The sequence below is a fragment of the Homo sapiens genome, chromosome 4 (genome assembly GCF_000001405.40).
Source record: "Homo sapiens chromosome 4, GRCh38.p14 Primary Assembly".
In the NCBI taxonomy this organism is placed as follows: Eukaryota; Metazoa; Chordata; class Mammalia; order Primates; family Hominidae; genus Homo; species Homo sapiens.
The window spans coordinates 26151826-26175007 of NC_000004.12; the positions used below are offsets into that span (position 1 = coordinate 26151826).

Genomic DNA, 23182 nt, shown 5'->3' on the forward strand with positions numbered 1-23182 from the left:
TCTTCGCAAATAAGTTTTTCCTCTTCTCCTGTCTGGAAAAGGTGGGTCGGCAGCCAATTCAGTGAGCAACTCAGTGATTTAGGAACAAATATGTGGGACAGCTGAGCCTCTCCAGATGTTGAACTAAATAAGGCACAATTGGGCTTTTGGGGTCTGACGCCTCTTTATGGCAAACTGGGAGCAGAAGGGGCCCCTAGAACAGTTGACAGTATAATAAGATTCTCATTCAAAAGTGCCTACGTTGTGCCAGAAAGTTTACAGAGTGGTAGGGCTCAGAATAAATAGCTGGCAAATTATACACTATGATAAAACATTACAATTTTCTTCCTTTCAATACCCCACTCTGGAGGAATACTATCCACTCCTGCACTGTTGAATTCAGGAGTGGCTATGGGACTTGTGTTGGCTAGTGACGTGTAGACAGAGTTGACACATGTCTTCCAGCACGTGGTTTGCCATCTGTCTTTTTCATCCACCACGTAGACTGGCAATGTTCCAGGTACGCCCTGAACACTAGAGAGAATGGGAGAAGCCAAGCTTCAGTCAATCCGCAATGGACCCTCTTTGTTGTAAGCCACTGATGCTTTCAGATTGTTGTTACAGCAGCATGGCCTAGCCCCTTGTGATGGGAAAACTTGCATGAGATCCCATAACTGGTACATAGTAAAGCCAGGATAGTTCATCTGCAGCATTTAATAAGTGCTTACTATGTGCATAAACCATGCTAAGTACTTTCTACATATTATCTTCATTAATTCTCACAATGAGCTCATAACTTGTATAAAGAATTCTTACCTCAATTTTTAAATTGATGTTTCAACTCACACAGCTTGTAAGGAGCAGATCCAGGACTTGAACCCAGGTTGTTCTGAATCCATAGCCCAAGCTCTTAATCACTAATCCATATTGAATCCTTGTTCAGTTCTTGAAGACAGAGAGCTTGAGAAGTTGAAAAGAGTGGAATGAATTTGCCAACCACTGTGAGACTGTCAGATGTTATGTATGCAACTTACAAAGTTAAGAAAATAGTATGAACTGCCCCAGTTTATGACCAATCATCTAATGAACACTCTGGGAGTGGGCAAAAGAGGTAGAAGTGCAGGTTAAGTGTCCTTTATCCAAAATGCTTGGGATCCAAAGTGTCTGGGATTTTGGAATATTTGCATATATATAATGAGATACCATGCGGATGGCACCCAAGTCTAAACAGGAAATTATTTTATGTTTTATATACACCTTATACACATAGCCTGAAGGTAATTTTACACAGTATCTTAAATAATTTTGTGCATGAAACAAAGTTTGTGTGCATCGAACCATCAGAAAGCAAAGGTGACCCTAGCTCAGCCACCCATGTGGACAATCTGTGGTTATTTGGCATCACCATCATTCCTGACTCTGAATGTAGATGCTACTGAGAAGCAACTGTTTTCTTACATTTATTCACACATAAGTGTGAATTTTAAGGTAAAAAACATGACAAACCGTTAATGCAGTGAAAAAATAGAGTGTTCAGGGTAACCAAGCAGCACAGTAGCATGCCCAGAATACCTGCATCAGCTGTGAAACAACAGCAAGAGATAACAGCAGGCGTTCAGTCTCCACCTGTGATGCTGTGTTTTGATTAAAAGATTACTGTACACTGTATTCTATTTTTTAGGTGAGGAGAAACACTGGAAGCAGTTGAGGGACCAGGATGTGGGTCCTCCAAGGATGAAGAGGCATGCTAGTGGATAGCTTTTTTCAAATGTTTCCTCCAGTGTCACTGGCCTTAGTAACAGTGGTTTTTGTCTTAGGGGGTCTCTCTTTGATTTTATAAGCTGACATGATTTCTTGTTCTGTTATGAAGGCACACACAGCTCTAGTCCTTCAACAAACCCATCATACATTTTTACCATATTATAACTTAGGCCGTTTTTCTGCAGTGTTAACATCATCTTCACCATTGTGCACCTGTGTTTTGACTGCAACTCATAACATGAGGTCAGGTGTGGAATTTTCCACCTGTGCATCGTGTGAGACTGAGGCAGGAGAATCGCTTGAACCCAGGAGGCGGAGGTTGCAGTGAGCTGAGATCGTGCCACTGCACTCCAGCCCCGGTGACAGAGTGAGACTCCCTCTCAAAAAAAAAAGTTTCAGATTTTGGAACATTTGAGATTTCAGATTTTTGGATTAGGGACTCCAAATCTGTATTTGGAACTTGCTTGATATTCCCCCATTCATTGTTAACTCCTTCCCCAATTAAGAACTCCCGCTCAGCTGCTGACCAGAGTTTCTGCCATCTCTCCTTTAGAGGACAAACAAAGATACAAAGAGCTCCCCTCCACTCTGTGGGTGGAGGCAATCATAACACGGGGAACAGAAAGAACAAAAAGTTTGGAATGATAGAGACCTGAGTTCAAGCTCTGGCTCTGCCACTTACCAGATTTGGGACTTCGGGCAAGTTGCTGCATTTTCTCCATCTGTAAAACAGGATAAATAAGATAATGATGGTTACCTCACTGGGTAATTCAGGGTATAAAAGGCATCATTCTGACAAGTGTCTGTGCAGGGTCTGGCATGTAATAGGTACTCAATGAATATTCGTTCCCGTAGGAATTTACCAGGGAAACACCGTGTGGACTCACCTGCTTTTCTGCCTGCTCTTGCCCTTTGCTCCTAACCTCCCTATCCCTTCCATGCTGCTGTGGTCCCAGATGGAAGTGCTATCTGATCTTATTCAGACCTGAACACACATCTGTTCTCAGGAACATGGTTTTAAAATGAAGATTGGTTGGCTTGAAAACAGGTTTTGTGTTAGTCCATTTATGTTATTATAAAGGAATATCCAAGACTGGGTAATTATAATTGTTCTTTTGGCTCAAGGGTCTGCAGGTTGCACACAAAGCATAGTATCAGCATCTACTTCTGGCAAGGCCTAAGGAAGCTTATAATCATGGAGGAAGGCAAAGGTGAGCCAGTGTGTCCCATAGCAAGGGAGGGAGCAAAAAAGGGGAAGAGGTGCCAGGCTCCTTTTAAACAACCAGCTCTTGCTTTAACTTATCACCCAGGGCATGGTGTGAAGCCATTAATGAGGGATCCACCCCGTGATGTAATACCCCCCACCAGGCTTCACCTCCAATACTGAGAACACATGAGATTTGGAGGGGACACACTTCCCAACCATATCAGGGCTGGACATAAAGAATATTAAGAGTTAAACAAGCCACAGGCTCAGTCTAGGAAACTACTTTTTGGAATATCATTAAAAGAGGAAAATGTAAACAACTTCAAATACTCAACTCCTAGCAAACATATGGATCACTCTCTTTTGGAAAGGAGGGGTGAATACCTGTACTTGTATGCATTAATCCCAACCATTACTTATTACATGAAATCATGAAAGAAAAAGTACATATTTTGACCATTTCCAGCTAACTCTTACAGATATAAAAACATTTTCTAAGTGACCAGCTGAGCGCCATTTCCATCTTCTTCTTAGCCTCTCAGCCCTTAAGCCCTTCATGGCTGAGGTGGGGAGCCAGGGGACCTAAGATTCAGCCTCAGGCACATGCCCTCTGGGTCACTGAGCTGCTCACCTTTTTCTCTTTTTAGTTTTCTCTCTCTCTCTTTTTTTTTTTTTTTTTTCAGACAGAGTCTTGCTCTGTTGCCCAGGCTGGAGTGCAGTGGCACGATCTCAGCTCGCTGCAACCTCCACCTCCTGGGTTCAAGCGATTCTCCTGCCTCAGCCTCCCGAGTAGCTGGGACTACAGGCATGCACCACCACGCCTGGCTAATTTTTGTATTTTTAGTAGAGGTGTGGTTTTGCCATGTTGGCCAGGCTGGTCTCAAGCTCCTGACCTCAAGTGATCTGCCCACCTCAGCCTCCCAAAGTGCTGGGATTGCAGGTGACCTTTTCTCTTAAGAGGGTTAAAGTAAGGAAAGTTTGTCAAACATACAACTCCTTCCATAGTGGAAGGTTGAAGGTCAGAGAGAGAAAACCTGCAGGTTCAGTGAAGGTACAGAGGAGAGAAGTTTCATTTCACTATTGGCAGTTTGAAATTTTCTCTCCAATCACGAAATTGACCATGTTGAGAAGAAAGCATGGTAGGTGTTCCTTTCCCATTTTATCTGTGTAATCCAGGTCTCCTGGAAAGAAACATACATCACTGAGAGGCAGAAAGGGGCAGTGACAGTGCCCATAGAGTCAGACAGAGCCAGATTCAAATACTGTGTCTGACATAAACAACTTGTTAATGGAGGCAGGAAGCTTAACCTGTGGGTTGCAGTGCCTCAACCATCAAATGGGAATAATAACTCATATTTGACAGAGTATTGCAAAAATTAGAGGTATTGTATAAAAATACCTAGTGCACAGTAAGTATTCAATAAATGATTACTGTTATTGTTAATGCAGTGTAAAGTCAAGTTGACAATCTGATATTTATGAATACCAGCTGAGCAAGAATTACATTTCAAAACCTGTCAGACTGAGTCTCAAGCAGCAGGCTAAGGATTTATCCAGGCTTGTTTGTTTGTTTGTTTTTACTATTATACTTTGGATTTACTCCAAAAACTATAACTATATAGGTTGGAATTTCTTTTCTTTCTTTTTTTTTTTTTTTTTTTTTTGAGACAGAGTCTCACTCTGTAACCCAGGCTGGAGTACAGTGGTGCGATCTCAGCTCACTGCAACCTCTGTCTCCTGTGTTCAAGACATTCTCATGCCTCAGCCTTCTGAGTAGCTGGGATCACAGGTGCCCACCACTCATGTCCAGCTAATTTTTGTATTTTTAGTAGAGCCCATGTCCAGCCAATTTTTGTATTTTTAGTAGACATGGGGTTTCACTATGTTGGCCAGGCTGGTCTTGAACTCCTGACCTCCGGTGATCCATCCACGTCGGCCTCCCAAAGTGCTGGGATTACAGACATGAGCCACCATGCCCAGCATAGGTTATAATTTCTAATTAAAACTAAATCCAGGGCCAGGCACAGTGGCTCATGCCTATAATTCCAGCACTTTGGGCAGCAGAGGCTGGCAGATTGCTTGAGCCCAGGAATTGGAGGCCAGCCTGGGCAACATGGTGAAACCTTGTCTCTACAAAAAAAAAAATACATAAATTAGCCAGGTGTGGTGGCAGGTGCCTCTGGTTTCAGCTACTCAGGAGGCTGAGGTGAAAGGATCACCTGAGCCCAGGGAGACTGAGGCTGTGGTGTGCCAGGTTCACACCACTGTGACTCCATCCTGAGTGACAAAATGAGACCCTGTGTCAAAAACAAACAAACAAACAAACAAAAACAAACAAACAAACAAAAAAACCCCCAAAACTAAAAACTAAATCCAGCAGGGTGAGGTGGCTCATAACTGTAATCTCAGTGCTTTGGGAAGCCAAGACGGGAGGATTGCTTGAACCCAGAAGTTCAAGACCAGCCTGGGCAACTCATAATGAGACCCCACCTCTCCAAAGAATTTTTTACATTAGCCAGGCATGTTGACACACATCTGCAGTCCCAGCTAATTGGGATGCTGAAGCAGAAGGATCACTCAAGCCCAGGAGTTTGAGGTTACAGTGAGCTATGATCACACCACTGCACTCCAACCTGGGTGACAAAGCAAGACTCTGTCTCTAAAAACTAAAAATGAAAAAGATAAAAAGGAAAACTAAATCTTCCTATAGATAAATTTGATTAAGCAGCTTATTTACTTTCAAAGAAAAATCAAAAGATTTTTAAAAATTAATTATGCTTTAGGGAATATATATAGATGGAAGCCAGTATAAGGTTGTTTGGATTGCAAAACTTTCCATAAACTTTTTCAGTCCCTTTCTACATTCCTTATTGTAATGTGATTTCAACTCTTCTCCCATTAGGATGGTTTATTTCTCAACATCTTGACTTTAGGCTTGGTTGTATGACTCACTTTTACCAATAGGACAATGGCAAATGTGATATAAGCATAGGCACACTGGGGTCTGCCCTCTCTTGCTTCCCTGAGACCACAATGTAAGCTTAGGTTAGCCTACTAGACAATGAGAAGTCACATGGTAACAACAGGTTTTTTCCAGCTGGTAACAAATGCCAACTTCCAGACATGTTAGCAAAATAATCTTGGATGATCTAGCCTCAATTGAGCTACCAGATAGCTACAACCTAGGAATGACTGCAAGTGAAACCAACAGATGAACTATCTAGCTGAACCCAGCCCAAATTGCTGACCCAGAGAATCATGAGCAAGTAAAATGGTTGTTGTTTAAAACCAGTTTTGAAGTGATTTTTTATGCACAAAATCTACAATGGGTGATTCTGTGGGTGGCTGCTTGGTTCATAATAAATACTCATCCTATAGGCACTATCTCCTATGTCACTGGTGTAGGCTCCCAGCAGCCCTGCTACCTTGGCCATAGTCACTTGATCAAGGGTGGAGACTGTCTAAGGATGGACCAGTCACATTCCCTGTCACATCAGGACAGTGTTCTAGGTGGATGGCCCATGGACTTCAGTTGCTGAGGTCTCCAAGTTTGTCTTGATTCTAGTCTTCTCAAGGCCTGGTTATTCTACAGTTCCTCAGATTTGATGTTTTTCCCTGGTATCCTTCGGATAAATTGCATTTACCCTCAAGATAGCTAGAGTTGGTTTCTGTTACTTGTACTACAAAATTATTGATTAATAAAAGCCCCCTATGAAGAGCTTTACCCTCCAGATGAGGAAAAGGGAGTCAGTAAGTATGCTTAAAACCTTCCTTGTGCACAGAGCACCATGCTGGCTTTTGCAGAGGAAGAAAAAGTGAAGAGAAGGCGCCAAATTTACCCTCATGGAGTCTCCAATATATGAGTCCTTCTGGCTCAATTTTCTGCCTACTTTCTCTCTTGATTTGCAGACCTGGCAATGAAAGAGAATTCTGTCAATGGTGTAGACTTTGAATTATTTCTAATTAACTTGAATTGTAAAACCATGTGTCATCCTTGGCTTTACCAGGAAAACCCACAAGCAGTTCTGATTCTTCACTACTTGCCTAAAGCCATTCAGATCCTTGAAAGATGAGGAACTAAAAGCCACTTCTCTTCCTGAATATCCTGCAGCCCAAAAGGGAGCTAATAATTTTCCTTGTGACTTTTAAGAAGACTTTCTCCCTCTCTCTCTTTCTCTCTCTCTCTCTCTCTCTCTCTCTCTCTCTCTCTCAATTTAGTCCCTTTCAGAATGCAGATACTATGAGGAATAGTCATTCCTTAAAATGATCTATCATTTTACTTTTACTTGGGAAGAAAGGGTTTAGAGACCTCAGGATGAACTTTGTTAGAAGGACTGTGAGACCCTGATGGGAAGTACATGGAGAAGGCAAAAAGAAACAGGAAGAAGGTAGGAGATACTCATATGCTAGACACTTTCATGTATAAGATCCAAGCAACTCTGTGAAGTAGATATCAGTGTTCTCATTTTACATCTGAGGAAATGGAGGCCTGGAAAGGTGAAGGAGGAGGTCTAAGGTCACAAGAGTCTTGATTTGAGTCCAGACTTGTTGCACAAGTTCCAGTTTTTCCACCACCTGGATGCTTTTCCAAGAAGAATGGAGGAGAAGCTGAGTTGGGGTGGGGATAGATGATGCCATGCCCCTTATTAACAATGATTAGAAATGATAACTCCACAGCCTTCTCCAGCTACCAAGATGTCTCTATCCCAGTACTTCCCAAAGAACAACTATGTGTTAGGACTATCTCTGTGAGAAAATTTCCCAAAGTGTGTATATCAATAAGTTTTACATAAAAAGAAGAATTTCTTCATTCAATAAGATTTGAACTGTTTACCTTGTGCAGGACACCTTAGAACCTTCAGCGTGTTTATAGTACCTCCATGAATTTCCAAGAGGAAGATATAGTGTGATATTAATTAGGACATACCTTGGGCCACTATAACAAAGATACCCTAAAGTACAGTGGCTAAAGGAGGGTAGAACTTATCTTTCATATATCAGTACAGAGATGAATGGTCCAAAGCTGGCCAAGTGGCTCTTCCATCTCAACCCATGGCTTTCAAGATGGTACCAGCAGTTACCATTTCTCAGGCAGAGGAAGCTGGAAGAGAGAGAGTCCAGGGCAAGAAGCTTTCTCTCTCTCTCTCTCTCTTTTTTTTTTTTTGAGACGGAGTCTCACTCTATCGCCCAGGCTGGGGTGCAGTGGCGCGATCTTGGCTGACTGCAAACTCCGCTTCCCGAGTTCACGCCATTCTCCTGCCTCAGCCTCCTAAGTAGCTAGGACTACAGGCGCCCGCCACCGTGCCCGGCTAATTTTTTGTATTTTTAGTAGAAATGGGGTTTCACCGTGTTAGCCAGGGTGGTCTCGATCTCCTGATCTCGTGATCTGCCCGCCTCGGCCTCCCAAAGTGCTGGGATTACAGGCGTGAGCCACCGTGCCCAGCCAAGAAGCTTTCTCTTTAAGGAGATAATGTAGAAGTTACACACATCACCTGCAATTCATTTCACTGGCCTGAATTCAATCACATGAACACAGATACAAGGGAATCTAGGAGATGCAGTCTCCAATTAGGTGCCCAAGTGTCAGGCTGAAACTCCAAGTGTTTTTTACCAAAATGCATCAGGGGAGGACAAATACCAAAGGACAACTGGTAGTTTGTCATTGTCCCCAGATTTATTTACCCACAAAACTCTTTTTTTATGCAATGTCCCCTAGAGCTAGTATCTTATTCTATAATGTATCTGTCAGGATAAGACAGTTAATGATGCAGTAACAAACACCCCCACATCTCAGAGGCTTAAAACAACATAAGTTTAGTTCTTGTACATGTCCACGGCGTGGTAGGGGAGATGGTCTGCTCTTCTCTCTGGTAAGGAGGTTGATGGAGAAGCTATCAACTAGAACAAGACTGATTTCCAGAGTAAAAGGAGAAAGAGTGTGGGTGAATCAGGCACCATCACATCCAACTTCCAAGAAAGCTGAGTAGGGTCTAATGGCATTTCATTGCCTTTGTCACATGCATCTTCCTCAAACCAGGCCTTTGTTCTCAGAATGAGGAAACAAAGGGATATTATCAGACAGATCCCACCCTGGTTCTCCCACAGTCTATTGAGGGGAAAGGGGCCTCTTTCTGTTTCTCTTGCCCGGTCTCCCACCATGTTACATCAGCTGGAGTACCAAATACTAGCTCTGGATGATGATGGTAATTGGCAAAACATGTTTCCAGTTACTGTTCTTGGCCCATACTGCCAAGAGGCAGAGGTTATTTCTCCAGCCATTAAATCTGGGCTGGGTTTGTGACTTGCTCTGATTAATAGAATGGGCAGAAGTGACATCGTGACAGTTCCAAGCCTCGGCCTCAAGAGGCCTTATACACATTCACTGTCTCCCACAGGTTGCTGCCACCAGTGTGTAATCACTATGTGATCAAGCTTGGGGTCGTCTGCTGGAGGGTGACAGGCTACATGGGGCAGAAATGAGCCATCCCAGCTAAGATCATCCTACATCAGGCAGCCCCAGCCAAGCCCAGCCCAGAATAATGGCCCATGGTAGATAAATGGTGATTGTTTTACACTACTTGATTTTAGGTGATATGGTGTAGGCAAAAGCAAACTGACATAGTGATTTAAGCAGAAATGGGATTTATTAAAAGGTTGCAGCCCCTGAAAGACTAGGGCACTGTGAGGCTTAGAGGCTGTACCCAGAATCATACCACAGAATCAGCCTAACAAAGATCCCACTGGGTCTGCCACTGTGAACACCAACACTGCAGCTACACACTGACCCAGATCCCAGTCACTGCTATGGGGTCCCTTGTCCTCAGGAAAGTGGATGGAGCTGTTACTGCTGCCACCTATAGCCAGAAGTAGGTCACACAGAGGCAAGATAAGCTATAAAATAAATAACAGATACAAAGGCAACAGCACTGCACCAACAAAGGAGGAGGCCTGAAGCTGGGGTCCAGGAGGCCCCAGTGGTACTAGACGTTCACCCTTTAGTGGCTGCATTATAAGAGCCTTCAGCACAGACGTCCTGTGGTAGGGAGGAGGGGGCATGTGGGCAACATCCCATTATTGACCGTCACGACAACATCTCAGTGCTTTAACAACTGGTGATACCATCCCAGTGCATAGCACTTCCCTCTGCTAACCAGTCTCTGGTAAGGAGAATAGAATACTTGGCTTAGATTAATCAAGATCTAGCCCCATCTGGGTGAACTGGAGTTAGTGTCACCTTTTCTGGGCATATGGCTGTTCAGTGAGTGAACAAAAGATAAAATCAGGACTCTGCCAACAAGCAAGGAGGTGATGGGGGAAGCTAAAATGGCATAAACAATCCATAGTGTCTGTGATGCATGCCCTGATTCACTCCCAGTGGTGAAGTGGGATGGGGGACACAGGACAGAGAAACTCAAGGCCCAAGGGGTTGGGTGTTAGTGTACCCTGGAACACAGGGTGGTCACAGAGGCCTAGGACAGCCGACCGTCTCACTTTGCCTGTGACAGGGGATTCCCTGGATGTGGGACTTTCCATGCTAATATCAGCAAAGCACTGAGCAAATCAGGACAAACTGTTCACTCTACGGCAAGGCCAGTGAGTTCATGATCTCCATAATGTTACTTAAGAGAAGCTAGAAAGGGCCAGAGAGGTCACGTGCTGTGCCCAAGGCCACTCTGCTAATTCATTCATCCCTTTTCTTCATTGGTCACTGATGCATTCAATGTTACTTTACCAAGTGCTTATCATTGTAGAACTGTGCCCAGCACAGCTCTAGGCACTTCACATGTATTGATCTATTTAATCTTCACAAGAATCCTAGGAAAGAGGTGGCATATTATCCCCATTCTACAGATGAACAAATTGAGACATAGAGAGGTTAAATAACTTGCCCAGGTCAGACAGCTATTAGGTGGCAAGACCACGATGTCTTAGGCAGTCAGGCTCCGAGCACATGTCCTCATCCCATGCTGCACAGTTCAGAAACCATCTGAAGAGGCACAGCCTAGAGGTGGACCTAGACTGTATTCTAGTTCACATCCATCTAGGCCCCCCACTACAGATGAAGTATGCTATCAGGCTCACAAGTGTCTGGAGGAAGAGCGGCAGGGAGACCAAGAAGGGCCTGTTATAGATGGTTGTCACCAGGGCTTATGTTACAGAAGGCTGAGTCTCTGCTCAAGAGGTTAAGCTTGGAGATGTGGCACTGTAGGGAGTATGACATTATGGATTATTGGGCTGGTGACATGGTACATGACATCACCGTACCTCAACTTTCAGAGCTAGGAGATTGGGAATCTGGACCAAATGATGGTGAAGGCCTCACCTAGGATTTGGGGTATTAAGTATTTTAACTCATCAGAAATAACATCTGAGGTCAGGAACATCAAGGCAGTCACTAAACATGAAAGAAAGTCAAATTAGCCTAAAGCAGCTGTAACATCATTTATTTCCTTTTGCCTTTGGTGATTTGTTTTGCATGCTGCTATTAGTAAAAATCAGGCCTCTGATTTCAGGATAAGCCAAGGAAAAAGAAGAAGCAATAAATATTAATTTATGTTGGTCTTTACAGATACCCTTTGTAATCAAAGCACATCCAAATCCTCTACCCCACACACAAAAAAAAAAAAAGACTTGTGTCTGCATTTTTTCCCTTAGAGAGAGAGAATGTTGAATCTCTTCCTCTTCATTCTGACATTTTTACTTCCTTTGTTGCCAGGCAAAGTGGCCACCAGATTGGGTGGAAGGGGCTCTTTCTACGGCATTTCATGACTGAGCCTCCAAGAACAACCTGTATTGAGTTTCTCTTTGAGATGATTGGACTGCTCTATCCAGCATCATTGAGGTAAGTGAATTCTCTAATGAGTTATTTATGTTATGTTGCCCATAAAAATACTTAACATGCTTTAGTTCGTGACTTATGAATAAGTAAATTGCTTTTTGCTACTGCCACCTCAAGGGGTAACAAGTTAACCAACTCCTTTACCATTGAAATCTCTGCATGGTAGTGTTCTGGTTATACTGCCTTCTTTCTGATAAGGCCTTAGATCACTCAGCAGATGATCCGGCCTAGGCTGCAAAAGATAAGCTGTGCAGTCCTAGGACAAGGTGCTTTTCCCCGTGCCTCCAGACCGGTAACACTGCTTCCTTCTTAGGACCTTTCATGTCTCCTCATAGTTTTCTAACTCCATACTTTCTTTTATGTGCCCTTGCAGAGAAACAAAAAGAATTTTCTAGAATCAAAAACATCTATAGTCCCTCTAGGTATTTAAATTTTTAGATGTTTTCTTTTAAATAAGCTCCTCCAAAAATGCTTCTGTTGGTAGGTGATACTGATCACGTTGGTTGTTTACATCTGAAAGCAGGATGTTGTCTCGAAACTCACCGCTGGGATTTTCAGGGACAGAGAAAGGCCCACAGCATACCAGCTGTCTTCAACATTGTAATTTAGCTGAAAGACAACAGAAATGTTCATGCATGCGTTTATTCACTTGTACATACATACACTATTTATTCACTTATACATTACATATACATTACAATAGTATGTATACTATTCACTTATACATACACTTGTACACCTATACACTATTATTGAGTGCCTGCTGTATATTAGGTATTTCAGAAACAATACAAGTGGTTTCTGAGCTCTGAGCTCTGGCTCTCAGAGCAGGGGCCAAGGAATGGAGTTATGACAGAAGGGTCACAAGTCCCCATGTACCCCAAGCACTGTCTGCCAATTTTTATTCTCTTCTTATTCGGGCACTCACTTGACAAATATCTACTGCATGTCTACAACATGGCTGGTAGAATAATGTTTCACACATGCCTGTGTATTTTCCAAAAGTACTTGGATGCAGTTGTGATCAATTAAATATAAGTCCATTTGAAAGTTTTACTGAAACTTTTAATGTTCTTTTGTCATTATTTTCTCAGCCAATGGATTCCAAAAGTTCATTGTTGTCATAGAACTGCACAAAAAGAGTTAAAAATGTGTTTTTCTACTGGAAAATGGGGGGGACCATCTGCTAGTTCTGTGTCAGAAGCCTAATGCAGAATTCACAGCAATTCCAGAAGGTGTGGGGTTTTGTAGACCACCAGAAGTCTAGAGGCCAGAAAACCAGGGAGGCCTGGGGAAGCTCAGAAAGGATTTAACTAGTTTTTATGCATAACTTAGACAAATGTCCTTTTCATACCATAGACAAACAATGGACTAGTTAAATACATATAGTGTAGTATTATACTGTATTTAGCTAGTATAGTATTTAACTACAGTATAATATTATACTGTATTGAACTAGTCTTTATGTTTGTCTATGGAATGAAAAGGGCACTGCTCTTTATTATGCAAAAAAATTCTCTTTTAAAATAATTTAATGACTAATTAGATTACTTTATGTCATTATTACCTCTTATATATGATAAATAGTACAGAAATTTGGACATCCAATCTCAGCCTTACTAAACAATCCTGATTATTTGGCTCCATTTCTGCAGTTTAGCTTTTTCTAAAGCAAAATATGCTATAATTATCTATGCTGATGGTTCTTTATACCTTTCAAAGTGCCTTCCCTATATACTGTTTTGTTGAATGTCACCAAAACTATGAGATATGGACAGGACAGGAATCACTGTCCTCATTTCATAGATGAAGTTACAGATGTTAGTTATAGAATTTCCATGAATGAATTATGCAGATACAAAATAGGCAAGGGTTACCTAGGTAAGATGGCCAGAAAAATGGATTATGAATAAATGTAAAATGATTCTAGGATATATAATCTGAATGAGGGAAGGGGGAGGGAAACTAGAATCCTTTTCTTCTATTGGACATCGTTCAAGTTCTAAGACCACCATGCTCACTTTAAATTCCCATCATTAATGATGAAGTAAAGCTATTTTAAGGGGGTCCAGAAAAAACATATATTTTTTCATTTTTTTTCTTTTTTTTTTATTATCATTATACTTTAAGTTTTAGGGTACATGTGCACAATGTGCAGGTTAGTTACATATGTATACATGTGCTATGCTGGTGTGCTGCACCCATTAACTCATCATTTAGCATTAGGTATGTCTCCTAATGCTATCCCTCCCCCCTCCCCCCACCCCACAACAGTCCCCAGAGTGTGATGTTCCCCTTCCTGTGTCCATGTGTTCTCATTGTTCAATTCCCATCTGTGAGTGAGAACATGCGGTGTTTGGTTTTTTTGTCCTTGCGATAGTATACTGAGAATGATGATTTCCAATTTCATCCATGTCCCTACAAAGGACATGAACTCATCATTTTTTATGGCTGCATAGTATTCCATGGTGTATATGTGCCACATTTTCTTAATCCAGTCTATCATTGTTGGACATTTGGGTTGGTTCCAAGTCTTTGCTATTGTGAATAGTGCCACAGTAAACATACGTGTGCATGTGTCTTTATAGCAGCATGATTTATAGTCCTTTGGGTATATACCCAGTAATGGGATGGCTGGGTCAAATGGTATTTCTAGTTCTAGATCCCTGAGGAATCGCCACACTGACTTCCACAATGGTTGAACTAGTTTACAGTCCCACCAACAGTGTAAAAGTGTTCCTATTTCTCCACATCCTCTCCAGCACCTGTTGTTTCCTGACTTTTTAATGATCGCCATTCTAACTGGTGTGAGATGGTATCTCATTGTGGTTTTGATTTGCATTTCTCTGATGGCCAGTGATGATGAGCATTTTTTCATGTGTTTTTTGGCTGCATAAATGTCTTCTTTTGAGAAGTGTCTGTTCATATCCTTTGCCCACTTTTTGATGGGGTTGTTTGTTTTTTTCTTGTAAATTTGTTTGAGTTCATTGTAGATTCTGGATATGAGCCCTATGTCAGATGAGTAGGTTGCGAAAATGTTCTCCCGTTTTGTAGGTTGCCTGCTCACTCTGATGGTAGTTTCTTTTGCTGTGCAGAAGCTCTTTAGTTTAATTAGATCCCATTTGTCAATTTTGGCTCGTTGCCATTCCTTTTGGTGTTTTTGACATGAAGTCCTTGCCCATGCCTATGTCCTGAATGGTAATGCCTAGGTTTTCTTCTAGGGTTTTTATGGTTTTAGGTCTAACGTTTAAGTCTTTAATCCATCTTGAATTAATGTTTGTATAAGGTGTAAGGAAGAGATCCAATTTCAGCTTTCTACATATGGGTAGCCAGTTTTCCCAGCACCATTTATTAAATAGGGACTCTTTCCCCATTGCTTGTTTTTCTCAGGTTTGTCAAAGATCAGATAGTTGTAGATATGTGGCATTATTTCTGAGGGCTCTGTTCTGTTCCATCGATCTATAGCTCTGTTTTGGTACCAGTACCATGCTGTTTTGGTTACTGTAGCCTTGTAGTATAGTTTGAAGTCAGGTAGCGTGATGCCTCCAGCTTTGTTCTTTTGGCTTAGGATTGACTTGGCGATGCAGGCTCTTTTTTGGTTCCATATGAACTTTAAAGTAGTTTTTTCCAATTCTGTGAAGAAAGTCATTGGTAGCTTGATGGGGATGGCATTGAACCTATCAATTACCTTGGGCAGTGTGGCCATTTTCATGATATTGATTCTTCCTACCCATGAGCATGGAATGTTCTTCCATTTGTTTGTATCCTCTTTTATTTCATTGAGCAGTGGTTTGTAGTTCTCCTTGAAGAGGTCCTTCACGTCCCTTGTAAGTTGGATTCCTAAGTATTTTATTCTCTTTGAAGCAATTGTGAATGGGAGTTCACTCATGATTTGGCTCTCTGTTTGTCTGTTATTGGTGTATAAGAATGCTTGTGATTTTTGTACATTAATTTTGTATCCTGAGACTTTGCTGAAGTTGCTTATCAGCTTAAGGAGATTTTGGGCTGAGACAATGGGGTTTTCTAGATATACAATCATGTCGTCTGCAAACAGGGACAATTTGACTTCCTCTTTTCCTAATTGAATACCCTTTATTTCCTTCTCCTGCCTAATTGCCCTGGCCAGAACTTCCAACACTATGTTGAATAGGAGTGGTGAGAGAGGGCATCCCTGTCTTGTGCCAGTTTTCAAAGGGAATGCTTCCAGTTTTTGCCCATTCAGTATGATATTGGCTGTGGGTTTGTCATAGATAGCTCTTATTATTAGAGACTAGGATTGCAACCCCTGCCTTTTTTTGTTTTCCATTTGCTTGGTAGATCTTCCTCCATCCTTTTATTTTGAGCCTATGTGTGTCTCTGCATGTGAGATGGGTTTCCTGAATACAGCACACTGATGGGTCTTGACTCTTTATCCAATTTGCCAGTCTGTGTCTTTTAATTGGAGCATTTAGTCCATTTACATTTAAAGTTAATATTGCTATGTGTGAATTTGATCCTGTCATTATGATGTTAGCTGGTTATTTTGCTCGTTAGTTGATGCAGTTTCTTCCTAGTCTCGATGGTCTTTACATTTTGGCATGATTTTGCAGCAGCTGGTACAAGTTGTGCCTTTCCATGTTTAATGCTTCCTTCAGGAGCTCTTGTAGGGCAGGCCTGGTGGTGACAAAATCTCTCAGCATTTGCTTGTCTGTAAAGTATTTTATTTCTCCTTCACTTATGAAGCTTAGTTTGGCTGGATATGAAATTCTGGGTTGTAAATTCTTTTCTTTAAGAATGTTGAATGTTGGCCCCCACTCTCTTCTGGCTTGTAGAGTTTCTGCTGAGAGATCTGCTGTTCGTCTGATGGGCTTCCCTTTGTGGGTAACCTGACCTTTCTCTCTGGCTGCCCTTAACATTTTTTCCTTCATTTCAACTTTGGTGAATCTGACAATTATGTGTCTTGGAGTTGCTCTTCTCGAGGAATATCTTTGTGGTGTTCTCTGTATTTCCTGAATCTGAATGTTGGCCTGCCTTGCTAGATTGGGGAAGTTCTCCTGGATAATATCCTGCAGTGTTTTCCAACTTGGTTCCATTCTCCCCGTCACTTTCAGGTACACCAATCAGACGCAGATTTGGTCTTTTCACATAGTCCCATATTTCTTGGAGGCTTTGTTCGTTTCTTTTTATTCTTTTTTCTCTAAACTTCCCTTCTCACTTCATTTCATTCATTTCATCTTCCATCGCTGATACCCTTTCTTCCAGTTGATCACATCGGCTCCTGAGGCTTCTGCATTCTTCACGTAGTTCTCAAGCCTTGGCTTTCAGCTCCATCAGCTCCTTTAAGCACTTCTCTGTATTGGTTATTCTAGTTATACATTCGTCTAAATATTTTTCAAAGTTTTCAACTTCCTTGCCTTTGGTTTGAATTTCCTCCTGTAGCTCGGAGTAGTTTGATCGTCTGAAGCTTTCTTCTCTCAACTCCTCAAAGTCATTCTCTGTCCAGCTTTGTTATGTTGCTGGTGAGGAACTGCGTTCCTTTGGAGAAGGAGAGGTGCTCTGCTTTTTAGAGTTTCCAGTTTTTCTGCTCTGTTTTTTCCCCATCTTTGTGGTTTTATCTACTTTTGGTCTTTGATGATGGTGATGTACAGATGGGTTTTTGGTGTGGATGTCCTTTCTGTTTGTTAGTTTTCCTTCTAACAGACAGGACCCTCAGCTGCAGGTCTGTTGGAGTTTGCTAGAGGTCCACTCCAGACCCTATTTGCCTGGGTATCAGCAGCGGTGTCTGCAGAACCTCGGATTTTCATGATCCACGAATGCTGCTGTCTGATCGTTCCTCTGGAAATTTTGTCTCAGAGGAGTACCCGGCCGTGTGAGGTGTCAGTCTGCCCCTACTGGGGGGTGCCTCCCAGTTAGGCTGCTCGGGGGTCAGGGGTCAGAGACCCACCTGAGGAGGCAGTCTGCCCATTCTCAGATCTCCAGCTGCGTGCTGGGAGAACCACTGCTCTACTCAAAGCTGTCAGACAGGGACATTTAAGTCTGCAGAGGTTACTGCTGTCTTTTTGTTTGTCTGTGCCCTGCCCCCAGAGGTGGAGCCTACAGAGGCAGGCAGGCCTCCTTGAGCTGTGGTGGGCTCCACCCAGTTCGAGCTTCCCGGCTTTTTTGTTTACCTAAGCGAGCCTGGGCAATGGTGGGCGCCCCTCCCCCAGCCTCGCTGCCGCCTTGCAGTTTGATCTCAGACTGCTGTGCTAGCAATCAGCGAGACTCCGTGGGCGTAGGACCCTCTGAGCCATGTGCGGGATATAATCTCCTGGTGTGCCATTTCCTAAGCCCGTCAGAAAAGCGCAGTATTTGGGTGGGTGTGGCCCGATTTTCCAGGTGCCGTCTGTCACCCCTTTCCTTGACCAGGAAAGGGAACTCCCTGACCCCTTGCGCTTCCCAAGTGAGGCAATGCCTCACCGTGCTTCGGCTGGCGCACGGTGCGCTGCACCTACTGTCCTGTGCCCACTGTCTGGCACTCCCTAGTGAGATGAACCCGGTACCTCAGATGGAAATGCAGAAATCACCCGTCTTCTGCGTCGCTCACACTGGGAACTGTAGACCGGAGCTGTTCCTATTCGGCCATCTTGGCTTCTCTAAAAATATATATATTTTCAAAAGAATGGAAAATAGGCCAGTCATGGTGGCTCCTGCCTATAATCCCAGGGCTTTGGGAGGCCGAGGCGGGTGGATTGCTTGAGGCCAGAAATTTGATACCAGCCTGCGCAACATGGCAAAACTCTGTCTCTACAAAAAATACAAAAATTAGCTGGGTATTGTGGTGCATGCCTGAAGTCCCAGCTACTTGGGAGGCTGGGGTGGAAGGATCACTTGAGCCAGGGAGGCCGGCCAAGGCTGCAGTGAGCCTTGCAGTGCCACTGCACTCCAGCCTGGGCAACAGAGTAAGGCCCTGTCTAAAAAAAAAAAAAAGGAATGGAAAGAAAATCCAGAAAAGAATATCTCAGAAGCAGAATGATACAAACAGGAAAATTTAAGAGCAGTTAAGTGAGATGTAAGTTGGCTGAATGTGATTCAACCAATCAGTAATTTTTGTTAACTGTATTTTCATGAAATGATAATTTATGCGACCTTAAGAAATAAGATTAAATGATATTGGCTCTCATTTTAGGTAATGCATATTTAAGCAATAGGCAGCACTATCAAAAAACAGGCTTGGGTTTGAATTTTACCTTCAGTACACGTCAGCCATCAGACAAATCTTAATGCTTAATCTTTCTGAACTTCAATTTTTCCATCTCTAAACTGAGGATGATAATGCCTCCTTTGCACAATTGCTTCAAGGATTAAAGGCATTGTACGCAAAGCACCTAGTAAGGTGCCATGTAGCAGAAACTCAGCTAGGGGTGGCTGTTGTTTTGGCTGGTGGTGGTGGTTTATATTAATACGTGATCTTGTGGCTTGAGCATTAGACTTGGAGTCGAAGGACCTGTGTTTGCGCTGTGCCTCTTCCATTTAGTAATGAGATATTGTTGAAGATATTTAGACTTATTCATCCTTAATGTCATCACTTGTAAAAATGAGTATAATTTCTCTTCCTATTTTTGTTTTGAGTTTCACATGAAATATTTCTTAAATATAAATGTCATATAAAATAGAATATCACTACCACTAAGTCCTTGAAAACTAATCGCCTAGGTTAAAACATAGACATGTCACTGTACAGTATACAAGGTGTCACTGTACAGTATACAAGGTATCACTGTAATGAGAATATGGGGTAGAATTTTATCTATATTTTCAGAAGTCCTGCACAATAAAAAAAAGTCTCAAATTAGTTGAGCATGGTAGCATGTTCCTATAGTCCCAGCTACTTGAGAGGCTGAGACAGGAGAATCTTTTGAGCCCCAAGAGTTAGAGGCTGCAGTGAGCCGTGATTGTGCACTCCAGCCTGGGTGACAGAGTGAGACAAATTTCAAATTAAAACAAGAAATGTATAGTTAGCATAAAGGAATAATTCTCAATTTTAAGGAAGAGGACACATTTGAACAGGCTTACGATAGTCACAAAGGACTGTCCACTCCTGGGTGACATCAGAAAGGATCAACTGCCATCTGTCTGGGTCCTTTATTAGAGCATCCAAGATTCGTAAAGCTCAGAGGGAGTAGAGATAGTACAGCCACCCGCTGTGTGACAGAAGAGGAAACTGAGGCCCACAGAAGTGCAGTGACTTCATCACAAGGCCACCACAGCAAAAGGGGGCTGAGGAGTGGACCTGCCACCTGCCCCTGTCATCAGCAGGCTCGGGGTTTTGCATGACTACACTGTTAGGTCCGTTCTGATGTATATGCCATGGGCTTTAGGTCTCTGGATCCGGTAAGTGGGAAATACTGGAGAGCAAATCCAAGGCTGCCTGCTAAGCTGGAGGTTAAAATCGCCCCAGACTGTTTCAGTGTAAGGCCGGAGGGCAGCGAAGGCTGGAAATCCACATCGTCAAGCTCCTTCCATCCTTGTGCATTGATGATATCATCCAGGAAACATTTCAACAACATGGATGGAACTAAATGTCTTGCCAGGTGGTAGCTCGTGATATATACAGACAGCCCCTGAGTCACAAAGAAAGACTACAGAGGTCCCATACATACAAACAGCTGCCGCCATCCGCCTGGCCCCCACCACCCTGCAGCTGCCGTGGGCTGTGTGAAAAAAATTAAAAAAGAAAGAAAGGGATAGAAAAAAAATTTGGACCACTTGCAGATTCTAGACATTCAGAGGCAGAGGAAGGGGAAAAGCTGTGGAAACAGGAACAGCATAAGGGAATAGACTCTTAGGATAAATTTTCTGCCACGGGCGATCTAGCAGCAATCCCCTCTGTCTCAGCCCTGAAAAGTCTCCTCCTGGGAATAACTGTCATTTCCTATCCACACTGCCAGAAATTTTATCAATGTAGCGTTCTTTCCTCAAAAGCCTTTTTGGAATAAGGAAAGTGGGGAATAAATTATAATTAATTTTAACTTACCACTAGAAATCTCTTTTGGAATGTCACTCTCCTTTATAATAATTAATATCTACCTCATGGGGTTGCTGTGAAGACAAACTGGACTTTTAAAGTCCTTAGAACTGTGCCCGATAGATGGTATAACTCTGAGAAGTGTTATAAAAGCACTAGCTCTCTAGATAATTACAATGATTCCCATTTTACAGGTGAGAGAACTGAGGTTGAGAGAAGTCATGTTACTCTGCCTAGACTACATAACTTATATGTAGAACTGGGATTCAAATCCAGGTCTGTCTTTCAATCCCACAATCCTAACCACTGTGCTACACATAGTCATATGCCTGGCTTTGGAGGTGGGGGCAAGTGAAAGGATATTAGGGGCAGTCGTTCACAGGTTAGCAAGAATTAACTGTCAGATTGTTTTCCTACTGAAAATCAACTGAGCTCAGCCACACTCAGAAAATGGGAATTTTGTTGAGTGAGCAGGACAAGTAGGTTATTTGGAAAAGAACTGGGGTAAGGGACTACAGTAGGGTATGTTGGGATTTTTTCTTTCTTTTTTTCTTTTTTTGAGACAGAGTCTTGCTCTGTTGCCCAGGCTGGAGTGCAGTGGTACGATCTCGGCTCACTGCAACCTCCATCTCCCAGGTTTGAGCGATTCTCCTGCCTCAGCCTCCCGAATAGCTGGGACTATAGGCATGTGCCACCATGCCCGGCTAATTTTTGTATTTTTAGTGGAGATGGGGTTTCACTATGTTGGCCAGGCTGGTCTCGAACTCCTGACCTCAAGTGATCTGCCCACCTCGGCCTCCCAAAGTACTGGGATGACAGGCATGAGCCACTGCGCCCGGCTTGCAGTAGGTTTTGAGTAGGAAGTTTGGAGACGAAGATGCTCATAGGTGGGAGATACAGACAAAAAAGGGCAATTTGGAGAAAGCTGAAAACCAACACTGACCTATGTGAAATTTTATTTACGTCTAACCTTACACCCAGGAGATGGGGAAGATTTCTATCTTTCATCCCACCCACGACTCCAGATAACTTGGTAGGCTACAAGATGGGTTAAATAAACTTTTGTGGGCTGGCTGGAAACATAACGCTTCCACTCCCATTTGTAATGCATTTCTTTGGGGAAATGCGTGCTGAGTTCCAAACAAATGACTTGTAATTTAATACAACATGTGTATACTCTGCATCTCCACGGGCTGGGCACTGGACTAGGTGCTGAGCATATTAAAATAAATAAAGCAAGGTCCCTGCCCTTGGGCAGCCGGAGCCCTGTGAAGGAGGGAGATATGTGAGTAGCTAAGAGACAACGTGATAAGCGCAATAGGAGAGGTGTGTACAAAGTACCGTAGGGAAGCACTGAGGAAGGAGACTGGGAAATTGCTTTTAAATGAACTTTTGGAATCCAACTCCTCTGAAAGCTGGTAGCTGCAAGCAATGCGTTAGAAGTTACAGGAAGGACGCACTTACCATTTAGTACTGAATGAATTCATTCTTCAACAGGACGGTTGCTTGCTTTTTCCTTGGCAAGCCGTGGTATCAACACCTGTGTTTTTTCCCAAGAAGTGGGAGAAAGTGATGATTGTGTGGACTCTGAACTCAGACAGCTCGGGCTTGAATCTGACTTCCACTTACTAGTGAGATGACCTTTACCTAAGTCTGCTTCCTTATCTCTAAAATGGGGCCAATGCAAATACCTTATTTCTAGAGCTTCGGGGAGGACTTCCTCTGGTGACTGACACGGCGTAAATTTCTCACTCAGCTCTGGCTACTGTTAACCGAATGATAAGGCAGGAATCCCTGGCTTCAGATAACTTTATGCATTAGAGCTGTGTTTCAGAGACATAGTTTTAAGTGATACACAGATGAGCATTTTTATTTTTACTTATTTATTTATTTGAGATGGAGTCTTACTCTGTTGCCCAAGCTGCAGTGCAGTGGTGCGATCTCACCTCACGGCAACCTCCGCCTCCCAGGTTCAAGAGATTCTCCTGCCTCAGCCTCCTGAGTAGCTGAGGCTACAGGCACAAACCACTATGCCTGACTAATTTTTATACTTTTAGTAGAGATGGGGTTTCACTATGTTGGCAAGGCTGGTCTCGAACTCCTGACCTCAGGTGATCCGCCCAACTTGGCCTCCCAAAGTGCTAGGATTACAGGCTTGAGCCACTGTGCCCGGCCCAGATGAGCATTTTAAAATTTCAGAGCCTATATTAATTTTCATATATTGAGGGAGAAATGTATATATATACACACATATATGTACACATATATATGTGATCACATCAAACCGTAGATTTCATAAATATTGCTGCTTAAAATAAATTTTTCTTAGAAAATTATGGGAAATGAATTCACTTAAAGAAAGCTAGTAAACAAGAGAAGGGAAAGGGATATGAGAAAAAGACATGGCAGAGAT

The 23182-nt window shown here is 42.7% G+C and overlaps 1 protein-coding gene and 1 long non-coding RNA gene across 3 annotated transcripts in view; one reads left to right on the top strand and one right to left on the bottom strand.

The window, feature by feature from the left end:
• RBPJ (recombination signal binding protein for immunoglobulin kappa J region) overlaps positions 1-23182 on the top strand; it is a 329683-nt gene that overhangs the window by 46377 nt on the left and 260124 nt on the right. The window contains exon 2 of one of the 2 annotated variants that reach the window (XM_047415656.1): positions 11664-11789. In XM_047415656.1, the coding sequence (XP_047271612.1) occupies positions 11713-11789 (77 nt within the window). In that variant the 5' untranslated portion in view covers positions 11664-11712. Of the gene's footprint in view, positions 1-11632; positions 11790-23182 lie in introns of those variants that run through there. The other variant, NM_001374401.1, reaches the window with a different exon arrangement.
• LOC105374541 (uncharacterized) lies at positions 269-22385 on the bottom strand. The gene is made up of 6 exons (XR_925507.4): positions 22234-22385; positions 12330-12395; positions 6787-6858; positions 2423-2462; positions 796-939; positions 269-513 (listed from the first exon to the last, which is right to left on the bottom strand). It is a non-coding gene; the product is annotated as an uncharacterized LOC105374541 (long non-coding RNA).